General features: G+C 36.4%; 1 long non-coding RNA gene and 1 other non-coding gene across 2 annotated transcripts in view, besides 1 other annotated feature; both read left to right on the top strand.

Moving 5' to 3' along the window:
• LOC124905236 (uncharacterized) overlaps positions 1–18,325 on the top strand; it is a 36,671-nt gene extending 18,346 nt beyond the window's left edge. The window contains exon 2 of the long non-coding RNA XR_007068366.1: positions 7,079–18,325. This is a non-coding gene — a long non-coding RNA (uncharacterized LOC124905236). The remainder of the gene's footprint in view (positions 1–7,078) is intronic.
• On the top strand, positions 995–1,213 carry LOC124905291 (small nucleolar RNA U3). Its single transcript, XR_007068449.1, has one exon. It is a non-coding gene; the product is annotated as a small nucleolar RNA U3 (small nucleolar RNA).
• Positions 15,885–16,560: an enhancer, noted in NCBI's record as "OCT4-NANOG-H3K27ac hESC enhancer chrX:113172117-113172792 (GRCh37/hg19 assembly coordinates)". NCBI's record gives its function as "activates a minimal SCP1, AML or CMV promoter by ChIP-STARR-seq in primed H9 embryonic stem cells {active_cell/tissue: H9 hESC(primed)}" and the evidence as "EXISTENCE:reporter gene assay evidence [ECO:0000049][PMID:30033119]".
• Positions 18,326–21,154: the final 2,829 nt, after the last annotated feature.

The following is a 21,154-nucleotide window of genomic DNA, read 5'->3' as shown; positions in this document are numbered from 1 at the left end:
CCCAAAAGGTTAGCTTATTTTTCAGGTTTCTTTTGCTTTTACCTAAAAAAGTTTAGTACCACCAAATAACATTTAAGAAATTCAGAAACTGGATGAATTGCAGTAGAGCTTGATGAAAGTTTCTGAGAGAATCTAAAAGCTAATTACTAAATTCCAGCTGCCTGATAAACTCTCAACATAAGTAGAATTGGCAACTTCCTGTCAAGAATTTTGTGAATGTGAGAACACTCCCCTTACAAACAAGTACCAGACTCTTCTACATCTACAGCAGGACAATTCTTACCACGAGAGTACTTTTGGCTTTAACATGGAAATTCTGAACTGAATAATTCAGGGGTGGCATTAACTGCCTATCCTCTTCTGTGGCAGGCTATTTATTTAGAAGCTCTACTTATTATTAAGCTCTACTTATTATTGGAGAAGCTCTACTCCATAACTTTCTGGGAGAACCAAAGGACCAATTCTCTTTAGCCACTAGTAACCACCCCCGCCCCCCCCCGCCCCACTTTTAGATATACAAGATTCTCAGGTGATTTCTAAGAATCAGGGAAACAAAGAATACCTTTTACACGGCTCTGTACTCTACAGAAATGACTAAAAAATACTAATCTACAGATTCTTGAATGCAGTGACACCTAAGTATGGTACACAAATTATATATAAAAATAAATCTACACTAGGACAAGTGACAGTGAAACTGCAGAACATCAAAGGCAAAGAGATTTTATAAATAGTCACAGTTAAAATAATAGTTGACTTCTCAAGAGCTACAATGGAAGTCAGAAGACAGTAGGATCATAGTTTTCAAAGCACTGAATGGAAATAACTGCCAACCTAGAATTCCATACTCATTGAAATATGCCCATTTTCTGATGATTAGTTTGAAATAGTGACATTTTCAGATAACCAATAGACCCTCACTAAAGGAAATTCTAAAGGATGGAGTTTAGGCTAAAGGAAAGTGATCCAGGTACAATAATAATCATATAAGAAATTGTGAAGACTATTTTCAAGGTTCATTTCTATAGTTCACTACTGGAGAAGTTTCTCTGAACATGTGGAACACCAGGAAACATGAGGAAGAAGCACAGCATTCTCTCCTAAATGTGAAGCCAGCTGTTGGTGTTGCTTTGCTATAACTGCTATTTGCCATTGATGATTATTTTCCTCTTCTTCCCAGAGAGTAAGAGGGAGAGGATGCAGTCTGTGTGGTTCCCATTAAAAAGAAAGAAAAAGAAAGGAAGGAAGGAAGGAAGAAAGAAAAAATTTTTGGATAGAATAACAAAGCGATAACAAAGAAAGATAAATAAAAAAAAGAATTGCTCTTCTTTGTGAAAATGTGATGCTCTCTGAGTTAAAACGTTACCTCTAAAGTCTCTGTAAAATGCAAACATGCTATAAAAAAGGGATGACGTATGACGTCATTAACATTTCTGATATAGTGTGTATTCTAATATAGAAAGTGTGTTCTCGACCAGGCGCGGTGGCTCACTCCTGTAATCCCAGCACATTGGGAGGCCGAGGCAGGTGGATCACCTGAGGTCAGGAGTTCGAGACCAACCTGGCCAACTTGGCAAAACCCCGTCTCTACTAAAAATACAAAAAAAAAATTAGCTGGGCATGGTGGCGGGCACCTGTAATCCTAGCTACTTGGGAGGCTGAGGCAGGAGAATAGCTTGAACCGGGGAGGCAGAGGTTGCAGTGAACCAAGATCCCTCCAGTGCACTCCAGCATGGGCAACAAGAGTTAAACTCCGTCTCAAACAAACAAATAGAAAACGTGTTCTCTGTAAGATTACTGCTCCAAGTGCCTTGAAAATAAGGTTCAAATAAGTGTGGGAAATGTGGTGTTAAACAAAGGGAAACCAGATTCTTAACTGTTGGACTTCGTAGCATCTTTAAGTATGCTAATGTACATTTTGAGTTTCCAAGAGAGTGATAGAGTATATATTTCCCAATTTTATTTAACCGCAGATTTTATTTTTTTCAAAACAATTTAATAGATTGGCATTCCTATAGATCACATTTAAAGCCCCTCTGTCCCTAGCATGGTCCCTGAAATTCTTCATCAAATTAGATGATATTCCTGGAACATGGAGGCATGGGATGGGTAAATCCTTACAGAAACATGAGAAAACAACAAGATTAAGAGTATAAAGTGGCTCATGGGATGGAAGATCCAGATTGGGGAGCTCCCTTGTGAGAATGAGAATTGCAAAAGCACAAGGGGTAAAATGGCAAACGGAAACATCATGTGCCCTTGTGCTGATGCTTCCATTGCTCAACTACATGGGTCATCCATGAGTATTTGCAATCTTTTGGCAGTATAAATAAAAATGGTTTAGATGGGAAATAAACAGAGGCCTCAAAAACATGCAACTGGGGCTATTTCTGATTTATCTGATTTGGAAGCAGTGTCCACTGACCATTTTTAGAATCATATCTGAAATTTCATCTCAGTGGTAACTTTTTGCCTTATTAGTAGATACAAAATAACAAAATCGGGTGGGTTTCCATTATACAAGATTGATATGACTTTATATACCATGACCAAATATTTGCTACATAAAACAATCTTCATCAGGCTGGGCACAGTGGCTCATGCCTGTAATCCTAGCACTTTGGGAGGCTGAGGTGGGCGGATCTTCTGAGGTCAGGAGTTCGAGACCAGCCTGACCAAGATGGAGAAACCCTGTCTCTACTAAATACAAAAAAGTTAACCGGGCATGGTGGTGCATGCCTGCAGTCCCAGCTACTTGAGAGGCTGAGGCAGGAGAATCACTTGAACTCGGGAGATGGAGGCTGCAGTGAGCCGAGATTGCACCGTTGCACTCCAGCCTGGGCAACAAGAGCAAAACTCCATCTCAAAATAAATAAATAATAATAATCTTCATTAGATACCTATAGATTAGTTCTCACTCATCAGCAACATTCATGTCTATGTTAGCACTGAAAGCAGTGATATATTCCCAAGCAATAAGTATTTATCCAAGTAAGTTTAGAATTAAAAAATTAAATTAATAGATTAGTACCAAAATTATGAAATCTCATTAAAATAACAAATTTTAAAAAGTATTTTTATGGAAGGGAATAAGAATTTTACATACAACTCAATGTAAATCTAGTGTATTTTTAATTTTTTAATTCATATATTTTCTAATGACTCATATACAGAATATATACATCATTTTCACAAAACACTAAGGAAAAGGCAATCCAATTAATGGTTAGAATGTTTAATAGATATTTCATAAAAGAGAATATTCAAATAACATAGATGTCTCTAATGAATTAACTTTAAAAGTTTGACCTCTTTGATCATTCTTTCCTTTTAATTTTTAATTTTCAAATTTAATTTTTTTTAAGAAGACCTAGCATGAGATTTACCCTTTTATCAGATTTTAAACTATATAATACAGTATGGTCATCTGTAGTCACAATGTTTTACAGTGGCTCTCTAGAACTTATTCATTTTGCATAATAAATTTTATACCCATCAGCACCTCCCTTTTTCCCTCTCTTCCTAGCCCCTGGAAACCACAATTCTATTCTTCGTTTCCATTAGTTTGACTAATTTTGATATCTCATGTGAATGAAATCATGCAGTATTTTCCCTTCTGTGACTGGTTTATCTTGCTTAGCATAGTGTTTTCCAGGTTCATTCATATTGTCACATATGGTAGAATTTCTTTTTTAAGGCTGAATAATATTCCATTGTATATATACATACAAAATTCCATTCATTTGTAAATGGGCGTTTAGGTTTTCATTTATTTTGGCTTTTGCAAATAGTGCTACAATGAATATTGGAGTGCTAATATCTCTTTAAGATTCTGATTCAAATTTTTTGGATAAATACCCAGAAGTGGGGTTGCTGGATCATATGGTAATTCTATTTCTAATTTTCTGAGGAATCTCCATATTGATTTTCACAATGGCTGCACCATTTTGTATTCCTGCCAACAGTACATAAGGGTTCCAATTTCTCCACAACCAGCCAACACTTACTGCCCTTAAAAAAAAAATACAAATTGAGTATCCCTAATCCAAATATCTGAAATCTGAAATGCTCCAAAATCTGAATCTTTTTGAGCACTGACATGATACCACGAATGGAAAATTCCATACCTGACTTTATGTGGTAGGTTGCAGTCAAAACTTCATTTTATGCACAAAACTATTTAAAATATTGTATAAAATTACCTTCAGGCTATGGTATAAAGTATATAAGGTGTAAATGAAACATAAGTGAACTTTCTGTTTAGACTTACATTGCATATCCAACATATATCATTATGTATATGTAAATATTCCAAAATCTGAAAACATCTGAAATGTGAAACAGTTCTGGCCTCAAGCATTTTGGTAAGGGATAGTCAGTAAGTGTGAGTGATATCTCATTGTCGTTGTGATTGCATTTCCCTGATGATTAGTGACATTGAATATCTCTTCATATACCTGTTGACTCTTCATATGTCTTCAAAGAAATGTCCATTCAAGTCCTTAGCCCATTTTAAAATCAAGTTATTAGGGTTTTGTGGGTTTTTTTTTGTTGCTGTTGTTGCTATCAAGTCATAGCAGTTTCGTATATATTTTGGAGATTAGCCCCTTATCAGATGTATGGTTTGCAAATATTTCTGTCTTTCCATAGGTTGTCTTCTTACTCTGTTTCCTTCACTGTGCAGAAGCTTTTTTAGTTTGATGTAGCCCCCTTGTCCATTTTTACTTTTGTTGCCTGAGCTTTTGATGTCATTTCTGTGAAATCACTGGATATACTGATGTCATAAAGCTTTTCCCTTATGTTTTCTTCTATGGGTTTTACAACTTTTCAGGTCTTATAGTGAAGTCTTCAATCGATTTTTAGTTGATTGTCATTACTCTGTGCACTTTATTATAAAATATTTTGGCTTTAGAGTTCTTATATGACAAGCCCTGGACTAAATAATCTCTAAGCACCCTTCCAGCTCTATTCTTCTGTGATTCATAATTTTACAAAAAAAGATGCAGAATTCTCACTTCTCTTTACTCCACAATACAGTCACTATACAAGCATTGTTTTTGGCAGGCTGTTCAACTGAAAGAACTAAATTACTAGCAGGCAGACCACATCACCTGGGAATTGTTTCTTACTATCTTACCACAGAAACTCAATTAATCTTAGGACTCTTGCTTTTGACTTTTCCCAAGAAACTTTTAAATCTGCCATTCTGTCAACTAGCATTTATTGGATTCCTACTATATGTATGGACGCAGGGTTAGGCGTGTGGGATAGAAAGATGAATACAACACATTGATGGTTTTAAAGGCAATCACAGTGTAGTGGGGGAGATAGAGATGTATGCTATATGGGCAATACCATGAAAGAGATATGTGCAGGATATTATGGGCATAGGAGAAAAGAGGATATAACTCAACTTGTAAGGGGTGATAATGGAAGGTTTCCAAGTAGAGGTTTTACCTTATATTGTTCCTCAAGCTGAGGTGTATACTTGTGGGAGAATGTTAGGCAGAGCATGCTAAACAATGAGAACAGTATGAGCAGATGAGCAGATGTGAGAAATAGCATTATGGAAAAGGTAGTTCAATCGTTGTTGTCTGCCCTATACCCCTTGTTTCTTTTTTGTTTTCTTTGTCCTTTAAAATGTTTTTTTGAGGCAGGATCTCACTCTGTCACCCAGGCTGGAATGCAATCACATGATCCAGGCTCACTGCAACCTCTGCCTCCTGGGTTTAAGCAATCTTCCTGCCTCAGCCTCCCGAGTAGCTGGAACTATAGGCGCAGGCCACTGCACCCAGCTAATTTTTGTATTTTTTTGTAGAGACTGGATTTTGCCATGTTGCACAGGCTGGTCTCAAACTCCTGAGCTCAGGTGATCCACCCACTTCAGCCTCCTAAAGTGCTGGGATTACAGGCATGAGCCACTGCCCCAGCCCTCTTTCTTGTTTTAGCAGTATACTTTTCCCTCACTCCAACTATGTGGTAGAACTGTTAAGCATATTACACAGCCCAGTTAACTATAGGGGTGGGTATATGACCCAGACTAAGCCAATCATTACATAGCATTCTCCTGGCTGGAGCAGTTCATCCAAGGGATGGCATATGACCCAAGCCAGATCAATCAGATTCTTTTCCTAGGGTTTTATTATACTAAAGTAGCAATTGAAAAATGGTGTCACAAAGTTTAGGACCATGTACTCTGGAGTGAAACTTCCTGGGTTCAAATATAATTTCCACTACTTAATGGCTGTGTAAGCTTAGATAAGCTATTAAACTTTTCTGTACCTCAGTTTTCTTATTTGTAAAACAGGGAGATCACAATAATACCTACATCATAGTACTGTTGTGAGGACGAATGTGTTAATACATGGAAGGACTTATAATATTTCCTGTCACATAGTAAATACTTATTAAATATTGTTGGTATTATTGTTGTGTTATATATGCTACTGTCATATTTGTTATACACTAGTGATTATTATGGGATTCTTACGCTGGAATGACGTAAGATTTGAATCACCCCTAGAGCAAGGATTCACAACATTGGAACTCTTAAAATTCAGGTCAAGATAATTCTTTGTTGCAGGCGGTTGTCCCAAACATCGTAGGATATTTAGCAGCATTCTGTCTCTATCCATTAGATGCCAGTAGCATCTTCCCAGTTATGACAACTGAAAATGTCTCCAGACACGTTCAAATGTTTTCCGAGAGTCAAAATTGCCTTTGGTTGAGAACCACTGTGGCCATTTTACCTTCCAACTGGAAAGAGACCATTTACTACAGGAAGGAATGAAGTCAGCGTGTAAAGAACAACTGAAAAAAGAGATGGGGAAGATGGAGAGAGAATGAGTCCTTAGGGCAACTACATCTTTAGTTCCAGTTTCTGAATCTTCTAAACTCTTCTTGTTCTTGCAGCTTACCTTTTGGTTTTCTTTATCCTTCTATTAAAAATCTTTTTTTTGTGTGTGCTAAATTAATTTGCTTGGGATTCTATTACTTGCAATCAAAAGAAATCTGACTATTGGTGTATACAGCTTATCCTCACTATATATATATATATATATATTCTGTGTCCCCTTAGGAATGTAAACACCATGAGAACACAGGCTTTGTCTGCCACATTTATTGCTGCATTTGCAGCATGTAGAATGGTGACTGACATATAAGAAGTACCAATTAAACATTTGTGGATGAGTCAATGAAGAAACTGTAAGTAGTTGGATGTTTTTATAGCTGAAAATTATGAAAGTGGGTATGTTGTATGTTATACGGGCAATTAAATAGTGTTAGAAGTCTTTTGATTGCAATCATCATTCCAGTGATGGTCGAATAACATGGAATACCATAATCAGGAATTATCACCTTAAAGATTGATTACTTAACATTGATCATGTGGCTGGGCAAGGTGGCTCATGCCTGTAATTCCGGTGCTTTTGGAAAGCTAAGGCAAGAGAATGGCTTGAGGCTAGGAGTTCGAGACCAGCCTAGGCAACATAGTGAGACTCTGTCTCTGTCAAAAAATTAAAACAAATTAGCTGGGAATGGTGGTGTGTGCCTGTGTCTCAGCTGCTCAGGAGGCTGAGGCAGGAGGTTCGCTTGAGCCCAGGAGTTCAAGGCTACAGTGATCTACGACCACATGACTGCACTCCAGCCTGGGTGACAAAGTGAGATACTGTATCTAAAAAATAAATAAGTACATAAAAATAACTTAAAAATAAATAAAAGCATGTTATTTAATGGGTGTATAATATTCTACCTTATGCATCTATCTTAACACTTCCATTATTGGATATTTGCAGTGTTTTTCATTTCTGCAATTAAAAACAATATTCTGGAGAATATCAATATCAATTAATAATAATAATACTGTCGAATAATTGCTTTCAGTACCTTAAGCTATGAAATAAGCAAAATAAGGATTGTAGTAGCTATGGCATACCAAGTAAGTACTATAAAACTCAGTTCTTTGGATGCCATCTAAATGAGTTTACACAAAGTAGAGCTAGAAAGTCTGGGTCACTGATTGACACCATGGCAAGAAGGATGTCTTCTTATATTTAAATGTAAGGTTGAATAGGTTGAAAATGCCACTTTCAGCAAAGGTGGGAAGATCGCTTGTGCCCAGGAGTTTGAGGTTATAGTGAGCTATGATCTCGCCACTGCATTCTAGCCTGGGTTGAGAGAGTAAGACCTTGTCTCTTAAAAAAAAACAAAAAAACGGCCGGGCACAGTGGCTCACGCCTGTAATCCCAGCACTTTGGGAGGCCGAGGTGGGTGGATCACGAAGGTCAGGAGATCAAGACCATCCTGGCTAACATGGTGAAACCCCATCTCTACTAAAAATACAAAAAAATTGTCCGGGCGTGGTGGCGGGTGCCTGTAGTCCCAGCTACTGGGGAGGCTGAGGCAGGAGAATGGCGTGAACCCGGGAGGCGGAGCTTGCAGTGAGCTGAGATCGCGCCACTGCGCTCCAGCCTGGGCGACAGAGCGAGACTCCGTCTCAAAAAAAAAAAAACAGAAAAGAAAAAGAAAACATTGGTCATCTTTAACAAAAGCTACACCACAGGGTCTACTTGTCTTCAGGAACATAAGAAATAAATTTTTGTTATTGAAATGAATGGTGTTTAAGGTAGGCAATTGTTAGAAATGATGTATAAGACCCACTTGCTCCTGCATGAAGGAGGTTTTAGAGTTCAGCAAAAGCTAGGAGTCTAGAGCCACGTTGGTCTTATGTACCTAAATTTCTCAGTCTTCTGCTGCCCAGTCTGACTGTAGAGCACCCTAGTCCTACCAGTGACTCCTACATTGCGCCTTCTTGAAAATGTGCTTTTCATGTAAAGTACTAGTCTTTGGGTTTAGGTCAGAGAGTGGGATCTCCCAGAGCTATCGAATAGATTATATAGTTTTTTTTTTTTTTTGCCTCCTTTCTAATGAACATTTGTGCATTGTATGTAATTTAACTTGATACTTTATTTTGTTGTAACTACTATCTAATAGCCAAGATTTGGGAGAGAGAACATGTAGTTTTCACATATCTTTTACCACCAGATGCTACAATATTTACAAAAACAAAACAAAACAAAACACAACTTGGCATTTGCTGTATTATCCAAATTGTTTTCACTCATCTGCAACACATAGAAATGGCTTAAAAAGAAAGGTAGAATAGCTTTAGCTTTATTCTGAGTTGGTGAAGAGCCACTAAAGAGTTTAAAAGATGTGAGTGAGTGACATCATAAGTTTTGAATTTTAGATGTCATTCTTGTAACCGTGTGGACAAAGGACCTAAGGAGGAGAAGAGACCGAAGGCTGGGAGATTAGTTAGAAAGGTTTTAATTTGGGTAAGAAACAAAACAGGCAGTGATTGCAGGAGAGAAAAGGAGGGGACAGATTATAAAAGTATACACAGTATTTAGAATAGGTAAGTGATTAAATAGGTTAAAGAAGGTACAGAAAAAGGAGAAATCATAGATGCCTCCTAGGTTTCTAGCTTGTATAATGGGGCATGATGGTGGGATCAAATGCAATAAATAGGGAATAGAAGAGGAAGTGCAGGCATTTGTATTTATTTCTTGAGTTTTTGTTTGTTTTGTTTTCTCTTATTTGCTTCCTTATTCTGTCAGCTTCCTTTATTTGCCAAATTCCATTTTAACACCCTGACTTCCTGACTGGCTTCTCTGTAGCTATGGTAAATGTTTACTTTTCAGTCCCCTTTGAGCTATGTCTACTCATACATCATTTTGACAATAAACAAAATAAAACAATAGTTAAATTCAACTAAAAGTGGCTGTTGAAAAGAACAACATTGAAATAAAACAACGTTGAATTGCAACAATTTGTCGGTGACTCATTAGCACCATCAACATTAAAGTCAACAAATATTTGAATGCCAACTCAATGCCAAGCACTGTCCTGGGCTCTTTAGAAACAAAGACCCAAAGCAGTTCAATAAAGTGGAGAGAGTGGTGATTTTGGAGTTATAACTGGATTGGATTTCTCCTTCCATTACCTACTGGGTTTGTGACCTTGAGCTAGTGGTTAGCTCCTCAGGGTCTCATTTATTTCCATTTGTAAAATGAGGAAGAATGCATAATAGAGATATCGTTCAGCTGTCATCTTAAGTGAGATAAAAAATCCAACTTAGCCCAGTAGCTGACATGTTGTAAGCACCTGATAAATGTTAGCTGCTATGGAAATATACTCATAACTGTACTCTCAAGAAGCTTACAGTCTATTACATATGTTTTTTTATATAAGCCTCTTACATCATTTTTATGATTAATTCAGAGAATAGCATAGCATTGGATCATATTCTTATCACAGAGAGGGCATAATGATTCAAAATGGTAGTACCTCATAGTCTTAGAGCAGCATGTTTTTCAAAACTCTGAATATAATCAAGTATAACATTTCAAGTCTTTGAGACTTACTTGAATGATCTAATGAAGAAAATGAAAAAACACAAACTCCTTTAGAATAGTAATAAAAACATGATATATTACAAACAGTTAAAGTATGTTAATTGGCTATAATGTAACACCAAGGGTGTGGTGGGGTTTGGATGAGAGGGGAAAGAAAAGAACTTTAAAAAGCAGAATTACATGAGGTAATACAAACCCAGAGTAATGAGAGTTTCTGCCAGATTGGGTTATAATGAACACACTGTGTTTTAATGAAGCTAGTAACTGAGTATCTTATTAGATTTCACTAGAATCCATTGCAGGCCATTTTATGGTAGCCCAGTTAAGATCTTTTATGAGTTTAGAATTCTGCCAGATATTTTGAAAAAGAAAACCTAACTTTATTACTCTACTTCCAGCATATAATTTGCTTGAGATGTTTGTCAGTAGTTAATAAACCATATTTTTCCTCAACTCAATATTTTTATTATAATAAATGAGGAAAAATGTTGAAAAATAAAAATATGCACCTAAAATATTCTTGCTTTCACAAAATCAGAAGGACTAAATTTTAAGTGAAGCATATGTTTTTGTAAAGTTTTAAGTTAAAAGAATAAAAATAAAAAGGCTTTTGGCTTAGATTTTCAAAACTCAGTAGGATTTTGCAAAGTACAAATTTATATATTTCATGCAAACTTGGGTAAACTCTGCAGAATAGCAAATTCCAGTAAAACAGATGGCAGTGACTCCTGGGTTGATTTGTCCAAGTGATGCTTTTCAACATTCAGCAATAGATTCTTTGACCATCCACATGGAAGGCCAGTGCTTGGTGATGCTATCCAGCTGGCAAGTTCTTTCTTTGTTGTCTACTATTCCTGGTTTTGTAGTCTTTCCCAGACTTTCAGCTACCTCTCATTTATTGACAGTCATAAGTTCTGGCTATGCTGCTATCCACATATCTTCTCAGTAGAGAGTAACTCACATGAATAATATGTTATTTTCTCAAGGGTATTTTATTTCACAAGTTAATGCTTCAAGAACATTTACTGAGCACAAAACAAAAATGTACACATTTAGTTTCAGACTTGGACAGTTTTAATGGAGCATTGGATATCTGTATATATCCTAATCTGATTTTTTTTTTTTTTTTTTTTTTGATGGAGTCTTGCTCTGTCTCCCAGGCTGGAGTGCAGTGGCTCAATCTTGGCTCACTGCAACTTCCCCTTCCCGGGTTCCAGCGATTCTCCTGCCTCAGCCTCCCAAGTAGCTGGGATTACAGGTGTGCACCACCACACCCGGCTAATTTTTGTATTTTTAGTAGAGGTGGGGTTTCACCATGTTGGTCAGGCTGGTCTCAAACTCCTGAGCTCAAGTGATCTTTCCACTTCAGCCTCCCAAAGTGCTGAGATTACAGGCGTGAGCCACCATGCCCAGCCCTCTAATCTGATATTTTATCATCAGTGGCCAATTCAAGGCTCTAACCATGTCCAGAATTAATATTATTCTTCTTCACATGCCTTCTCAATCACCATCCAAGGTAGAGTCACAGTCACTTCTCTGCATCATTCAGGAATGCTTTGTCTAATGGCCTTTAAATTGGACATTTCCTGCTTAGGGTGGAAATGGAAGGATGGGAAAGAGGTGGTATTTGTATGAGCCAAGTGAACCCCTAAACAGACAATTCCATTATTTATAAAGCCATGCCCAAATTTTAAATCAAGATGAAGATATGAATTTGTCAATGTTATTGATACTGTCAAGAAGTAGAGTTAGTGGACTTAATGATAGTGTTTTATATAATGGAGGTCCAAGTCAGACAGGAAAATAAGTGAAAACATTTCATCTATTTTTGATGTATTGTAGGGGGAAGAAGAGGAAGAGAGACAGAGAAAGGTGGTCCGATGTTTGTCCAATCACCCTTCTCTGGGTAAAAGTCCTGGAGGGAGAGGTTTATTAGATAAGCTGAAGGGAATAAAAAGGACATGAAACTTCTGTTCCACTTCCTACTTGGAACTCTTCAAAGAAGCAGTTTTACCACCTACCTCTGGCCCCTGCCTAATTATACCAGCTTTGAGAGTCAGAGGATCAACGGCCTACTACTCATATCAACTTTTTCTTTCCCTGGGAAAATAGACCTCACGGGTAGGTTTAAGAAGTGGAATACTTCAACAGAACATGATTAAAGATGGGCAAATGAATACAAATACCCCCTACCAGAAATTAGCAAGTGTTGGCAAGGATGCGGAGAAATTGGAGCCTTTGTGCACTGTGGATAGGATTGTAAAATAGTGTAGCCACTATGGAAAACAGCATAAACAAAGCTGTAGTAATCAAGACAGTGTGTTACTGTCATAAAGGCAGACATATAGACCAGTGGAATAGAATAGAGAGCTCAGAAATAAATTCTCACATACAGGGTCAAATGATTTTTGACAAGATTACTGAGACATTCAGTGGGGAAAGTATAGTCCTTTTGACAAACGATGCTGGGAAAACTGGATAGGTAAATACAAAAGAATAAAGTCGGACTAGTATCTTACACTATATCCAAAAAACCTCAAAATTGATCAAACACCTAAATGTAGTAGATAAAACTATAAAACTCTTAGAAGAAAACATAAGAAGAAAAGAAAAAACTGGGAAGTTGGACTTTATCAAAATGTAAAACTTCCATGTTTCAAACGACACTATCAGCAGAGTGAAAGAGCAGTCTGTGAAATGGAAGAAAATGTTTGCAAATCATATATTTAATAAGGGATTAACATCCAACATATAAAAAAAAAAAACTCGTACAACTCAACAACAAAAACAACCAGATCGAAAAGTGGGTAAAGGACTTGAATAAACATTCAACATCTGTACATCTTATACAGATGGCCAATAAACACAAGAAAAGATTCGCAACATCACTGATCATTAGGGAAATGCAAATCCAAACCACAATAAGATTCCATTTCATACCCATTAGTATAGTTATTATAAAAATAAATGAATAAAAATACCCAAAAAACCCATTGGAAATTGGCAAATGTTGGCAAGGATGTGGAGAAATTGGAGCCCTCGTGCACTGTGGATAGGATTGTAAAATAATGTAGCCACTATGGTAAACAGCATGGTGGTTCCTCATAAACGAAACATACAATTACTGTATGATCCAGCAATTCTCCTTCTGGGTTTATACCCCAAATAATTGAAAGCCCGGATTCAAAAAGATCTATATCTATAGATATAGGTATTGATATAGCTCTATCTATCTATCTATCTATCTATCTATCTATCTATCTATATATCTGTGCAACCATCACCACTATCCATCTTCACAACTTTTATGTTCCCAAAATAAAACTTTGTACTGGTTAAACAGTAAGCCCCCATTCCCTCCTTCCTCCAGTCCCTGGTAACCACTAATCCACTTTCTGTCTCTACGGTACATACAAAAGAATAGGTACATACAAAAGAATAAAGTCGGACCACTATCTGACTACTATCTGATTGGTCAGGCTACAGTGTGTGTGTGTGTGTGTGTGTGTGTGTGTGTATACACGTATACACATATGTGTATACGTGTATATACACGTATACATATATGTGTATACGTGTATATACACGTATACACATATGTGCACACGTGTGTACACGTGTATATACATATATACATGTGTGCACACGTGTATACATATATGTGTATGTATGTGTATACGTGTATACATATATGTGTATGTATGTGTATACGTGTATACATATATGTGTATGTATGTGTATACGTGTATACGTATATAATGTATATGTGTATACGTGTATACATATATGTGTATGTATGTGTATATGTGTATACATATATACATATATGTGTATGTGTGTGTATATGTGTATACATATATACATATATGTGTATGTGTGTGTATATGTGTATACACATGTAATATATGTGTATGTATGCGTATATGTGTATACATATATACATATATGTGTATGTATATGTATGAATATGTGTATTTGCATATATACATATATGCATACACATATATACACAGTGACATTCATATATACATATATGTATGCATATATACACACACATTCATAGTAACATTATTCACAACAGCCAAAAGATGAAAATAATTCAAATGTTCATTAACAGATGAATAGATAAACAAAAAATGTGGTATGTACGTACTAGACTGTTCCTCAGCTTTAAAATGGAATAATATTCTGGCACATGCTGCAACATAGATGAACCTTGAAGGCATTATGTTGAGTGAAATAAGCTAGTAACAAAAGGAGAAATAATTTATGATCCCTCTTCTATGAAGCACCTAGTGAAGACAAATTCGTAAAGACAGAAAGTGGAGTAGTGGTTACGGGGGCTGGAGGAAGGAGGGAATGGGGACTTATTGTTTAATGAATAGAAAGTTTTAGTTTGGGAACATAAAGGTTGTGAAGATGCATAGTGGTGATGGTGGCACAATAATATGAATATACTTAATACTACTGAATTGTACACTTAAAAATGGCTAAAGTAGTAAATTTTATATATATGTACGTTTATATATATATATATAAACACAATAAAAAAGAACATTAAAACTAATCAGTTACACACACAGACACACACACACACATATATATTTTTTAAATCCTTGTAGATAAAAGGAGGAGGCAGAGCAAGATGGCCAGATAGAAACCCCCAGCAATTGTCCCCCCTACAAGAACACCAAATTGAACAACTGTCCATGAAAGAAGTCACCTTTATAAGAACCAAAAAAATCAGGTGAGCAATAATAGTACCTGGTTTTAACATAATAGCAAGGAAATATGCTTTGGAGAGAGTAAAAAGGACAGGCTTGCATTGCTCACACCACCCTCCCCGAAGCCCAGGTGGTGCAAGATAGAGAATCTGTATGCTTGGGGAGGGGACAGCAAAGTGAGTGTGGGATATTGCATTAGCACTCAGTGCTGCCCTGGTCATAACAGAACACAATACAAGGGAGAATTCTGCCAGTGCCCGTGGAGGGAACATCTGGACAAGCCCTAAGCCAGAGGGGAATCTTCTGCTCCACTGAGAGGAATCCAGGTCCCGGCCATGGCCACCTTCACTACCAGCTGACTAAAGTGGTTTGGGGCTATCAGCAAATTTGACTAGCAGTCAAGACACAAGGATAGCAGTCCTTGGGCAAGCTCTGGTGCTGAGCTGGTCTAGGAAGCAGTGGACTTGGGATGGGACCCTGTGCAACACCAGTTGCGGCAGACATGGGAGTGCCTGTGTCAACCGTCTCTCAACTCCAGGCAGTGCAGCTTGGGGACAGACTCCTTCCACTTGGGAGAAGGAGAGGGAAGAGTACTTTATCTTGCAACTTGGGAACCAACTCAACCACAGTAAACAAAGTACCAAGGAGATTTCTTAAGACCCTGATTTCAGACCTTTGCTCCTTAATGGCATTTCTAGACATACCCTGGGCCAGAAAGTAATGTGCTCCCATTCCTGGCAGAATTCACCACCTGATGACTAAAGTGGCTTTGGGCTTTGATTAAATATCACCAGCAGCCAGGCAATAGTGACCATGAGCCTTGGAAAAACCCCAATAATTTGCAGGTCTGGAAGATGACATGAAGTGGTGCCCCCGGTAGGGGCCATGAGTGCCCACATCAGCCCTCCCTCAAGTGCAGGCATCCCAGTGCAGAGAGGGGATCATTCTGATTGGAAGAAAGAGAGGGAAGAGAGTACAAGATGTTGCCTGGTAAGCCAGGGAATGCTTTATCTTCCCCAAGTCCACTAAGGCTGTTTATCAGGAGCGTGCAAGAGTTTCAGCGTTCCTGGGCTTAGGGTTCCCCCTAGTGCTGAAACAGATGCAGTGTCCACAGGCTTAGGTCACTGCACTAAATCCCCTAAGAATTCTTGGAATGCTCTCTCAAGAATGGGTACAAACAAGCCCAGACTACAAAGATTAGAATAAATACCAAACTCCTCAAAACCCAGATATTGACAAATGTTCAAAAACATCATGAACATCCAGCAAATCATGACTACACCAAATAGAGTTAAATAAGGCACCAGTATCCAATCCTGGAGTAACAGAGATATGTGATCTCTCAGACAGGGAATTCAAAATAGCCATCTTGAAGAACCTGAATGAACCTCAGGATATCGCAGAGAAGAAATTCAGAATTCTATCAGAGAAATTTAACAAAGAGATTGAAATAATTTTTAAAAATTAAGCAGAAATTCTGGAGCTAAGAAATTCAGTGGACAAACTGAAAAATGCATCAGTCTGCCAACACCAGAACTGATCAAGCAGAAGAAAGAACTAGTGAGCTTGAAGACAGATTATATGAAAATACACAATCAGAGAAGAAAAGGTAATTTTAAAAAATGAAGCATGCCTACAAGATCTAGAAAATTGCCTCTAAAGGGGAAATCTAAGAATTATTGGCCTTAAACATGACATATATATAGAGAGAGAATGAAGTAGAAAGTTTATTCCAAGAAATAACAGAGAACTTTCCAAACCTAAAGAAAGATAAGAATATCCGGGTATAAAAAAGTCAAAGAATGCCAAGCAGATTCAACGCAAATAAGACTAGCACAAGACATATAATAATCAAACTGTCAGAAGTTAAGGATACAGAAGGAATCCTAAAAGCAGCAAGAGAAAAGCAAACTACATATGAAGGAGCTTCAATACGTATGGAAGCAGACTTCTCAGAAGAAATCTTACAGGACAGGAGGGAGTGGGAGGACATATTCAAAGTGCTGAAGGAAAGCAACTTTCAACCTAGAATATTATATCCAGGAAAATTACCCTTCACAAATGAAGGAGAAATAAAGACTTACCCAGAGAAACATAAGCTGAAGGAATTTGTAAACAACAGACATGTCTTAACAAGAAATGCTAAAGGGAGTTCTTCAATTTGAAAGGAAAGAAAATTAAGGACCAAAAAGAAATCATCTGCAGGTATAAAAATCACTAGTAAAAGTAAGTACACACACAAATATAGAATACTCTTAACACTGTAATTGCAGTGTGTAAACTACTCATATCTTTAGTAAGAAGACTAAAAGACAAACTTATCAACAATAATAATTATAGTAATTTTTGAAGAGATTGACAATATAAAAAGATATAAATAGAAACAACAAAAAGTCAAAAAGTCGAGGGATTGTGTTAAAATGTAGTTTTTTAGTTTTCTTTTTACTTGCTTTTCTTTTTATCAGAGTTAAGTTTTCATCCATTTAAAATAACTGGCTATAAAATGTTCTTTGCAGGTCTCATGATAAACAAAAAATGAAAACCTATAATAGATATACAAAAAATAAAAAGCAATGGATTGGCTGAGTGCAGTGGCTCAAGCCTGTAATCCCAGCACTTTGGGAGGCTGAGGCAGGTGGACTGCTTGCGACCAGGAGTTCCAGACCAGCCTGGCCAACATGGTGAAACCCTCTCTGTACTAAAAATACAAAAATTAGCCAGGTCTGGTGGTGTGTGCCTGTAGTCCCAGCTACTCCAGAGGCTGAGGCATGTAGCTTGAACCTGGAAGGCAGAGGTTGCAGTGAGCTGAAGTTGCGCCACTGCACTCCAGCTTGGGCAACAGAGTAAGACTGTCTCAAAAAAAAAAAAAAAAAAAAGAAAGAAAGAAAAAAAAAGTCCCAGTAAATTAAAACACACTACCAGAGATCACTGTCATGTTAAAAAAAAAAAAAAAAGATAGGAAGGAAGTGAGAAAGGACGAGAGGACTCACAAAACAACCAGAAAACAGATAACAAAATGGCAGGAGTATGTCCTTACCTATCAATAATAACATTGAATGTAAATGAACTAAATGCTCCAATCAAAAGACAGAGTGGCTGAATGGATTTAAAAAACCCAAGACCTCATTATATGCTACCTACAAGAAAACCACTTCATGTATAAAAATAAACACAGACTGAAAATGAAGGATTGGGAAAAGATATTCCATGAAAATGGGAACTAACAAAAAGCAGGAGTAGCTATATTTAGATAAAATAAATTTTGAGAAAAAAATCTGTATAAAAAGATAAAGAAGATCATGGAGTAAATTCAGCAAGAGGATATAACAATTGTAAATATGTATGCATCAAACACTAGAACATCCAGATATATAAAGCAAATATTATTAGAGCTAAAAAGAGAGATAGACCCCAATACAATAATAGCTGGGGACTTTGACACCCCTGTTTTTGGCATTGAACAGATCATCTACACAGAAAATCAAAGAAACATCAAACTTAACCTTCACTATAGAGCAAATGGACCCAATAGACATTTACAGAACATTTTATTTAACAGCTGCTGAATACACATTCTTCTCTTCACACATGGTTCATTTTCAGGGATAAGACCATATGTTATGTTACAAAGCAAGTCTCAAAAATTCAAGAAATTGAAATCATATAAAGCGTCTTTTCTGACTGTAATGAAATAAAACTAGAAATCAATAAGAAGAAGAACTTTGGAAACTATACAAACACATGAAAATTAAATAATATGCTCCTGAACAATCACTGATCAATGAAAAAACTGAAAAGAAAATTTAAAAATTTCTTGAAATAAATGAAAATAGAAACACAATATACCAAACATATGAGACACAGCAAAAGCAGTATTAAGAGAGCTCACAGCAATAAATACCTACATCAAAAAAGTAGAACAACTTCAAATAAACAACAATGCCTCTGAAAACACTAGAAAAGCAAGAGCAAACAAAACCTAAAATTGGTAGAAGTAAGGAAAGAAATTCTCTCACATCAGCGGCCCTCCTAGGGAACCCTCAAAATAAACTAATATCTGGCCCTTAAAGATAACAACAAGCTTTGTGCCAGAACTCTTGATGATGGCAGTTTTCTTTGAGGAAAAGGAAGATTTTTAACACAATTTTTAGTTTGCACATAGGAATTTAGAAGGAGCAAGAAGGAGAAGAGAATACTTCCAAACTTGTTTCACAAGGCAAATATTACCCTGATACCAAAATCAGACAAAAATCAGATCTAAAAAAGGAGAAATCTATAGGCCAATATCTCTGATAAATATAAATGCAAAATTCGTCAGCAAAATGCTAGCAAACCAAATTCAACAGCACATTAAAAAGATCATTCATCATGATCAAGTGAGATTCATCTCAGAGATGTAAGGATGTTTCAACATATGCAAATGTATAAATGTGATACATACCATTAACAAAATGAAGGACAAAACTATATGATCACTTGAAAAGATGGTGAAAAAGTATTCTAAAAATTCAACATCCCTTCATGATAAAAAAAATCTCTCTGTAAACTGTGTATAGAAGGAATATACCTCAACACAATAAAAGCCATATATGACAAACTCACAGCTAGTATCATACTGAATAGGGATAAACTGAAAGCCTTTCCTCTAAGATCTGGAACAAGACATGAATGATCACTTTCACCACTCTTATTCAACATAGTACTAGAAGTTACAGCCAGAGCAGTAAAACAAGATAAAAAATATAAAGGGCATCTAAATTGGAAAGGAAAAAGTCAAACTGTCCTTATTTGCAGATGATATAATCTCCTATTTAGAAAAACCTATTGACTCCACCAAAAAAACTGTAAGAACTGATAAAAATTTCAATAAATTGCAGTATAAAAATCAACATACAAAAATCAGTAGCATATCTATATGCAAACAGTGAACAATCTGAAAAAGAAACCAAAAAAGTAATCTCATTTGCAATAGCCACAAAAAATTAAAATACCTAAGAATAAACTTAACCAAAGATGTGAAAGAGCTGTACAACTAAAACTATGAAACATTGATGAAAGAAATTGAACACTATACACAAAAAAGGAGATATTCCATGTTCATGGATTGGAAAAATCATTATTGTTAAAATGTCCATACTACCCAAAGCAAAATTTATACGGAACTATGAAAGATTCAGAATGACCGAAACAATCCTCAGCTAAAAGAACAAAACTGGAAGTATCACATTACCTGACTTCAAATTATACTACAAAGCTATAGTAACCAAAACATAATGGTACTGGCATAAAAACAGACACATAGACCGATGGAACAGAATATAGAACCCAGAAACAAATCTATGCATTTATAGTCAATTTGTTTTTCATAAAAGGACCAATGACATACAATGGGGAAAGGACAGTGTCTTCAATACATGGTGTTGGGAAAATTAGATATCCATATGCAGAAAAATGAAATTAGATCCCAATCTCTTGATACATAAAAAAGTCAAATCAAAATTGATTAAACACTTACATCTAAGACCTGGAGCTATGAAACTACTAGAACAAAACATTGGGGAAGCACTCCAGGACATTGGGCTAGGCCAAGATTTCTTGAGTAAGACCTCAAAAGCACAGGTAAACAAAGTAGAAATGGACAAACAGGATTATATCAAGCTAAAAAGCTTCCGCATAAGAAAGGAAACAGTCAACCAAGTGAACGGACAACGCACAGAATTGCAGAAAATATTAATAAACTACCCATTTGACAAGGGCTTTATGACCAGAATATACAAGGAGCTCAAACAACTCAATAGGAAAAGAAACCCAAATAATCCCATTTAAAAATGGGCAAAATATTTGAATAGATATTCTTTGAAAGATGACATATATGAAAAAATTCTTAACATCATTAATTATCACAGAAATACAAATCAAAACTATAATGAGTTATCATCACACCCCAGTTAAGATTCCTTTTATTAAAAAGACAAGCAATAATGGATACTGATGACAATATGTTGAAAGGGG

The sequence above is a fragment of the Homo sapiens genome, chromosome X, assembly GCF_000001405.40.
Source record: "Homo sapiens chromosome X, GRCh38.p14 Primary Assembly".
In the NCBI taxonomy this organism is placed as follows: Eukaryota; Metazoa; Chordata; class Mammalia; order Primates; family Hominidae; genus Homo; species Homo sapiens.
Note: the sequence above shows the minus strand (reverse complement) of the source record. Positions and strands in the feature narration are given on the sequence as shown.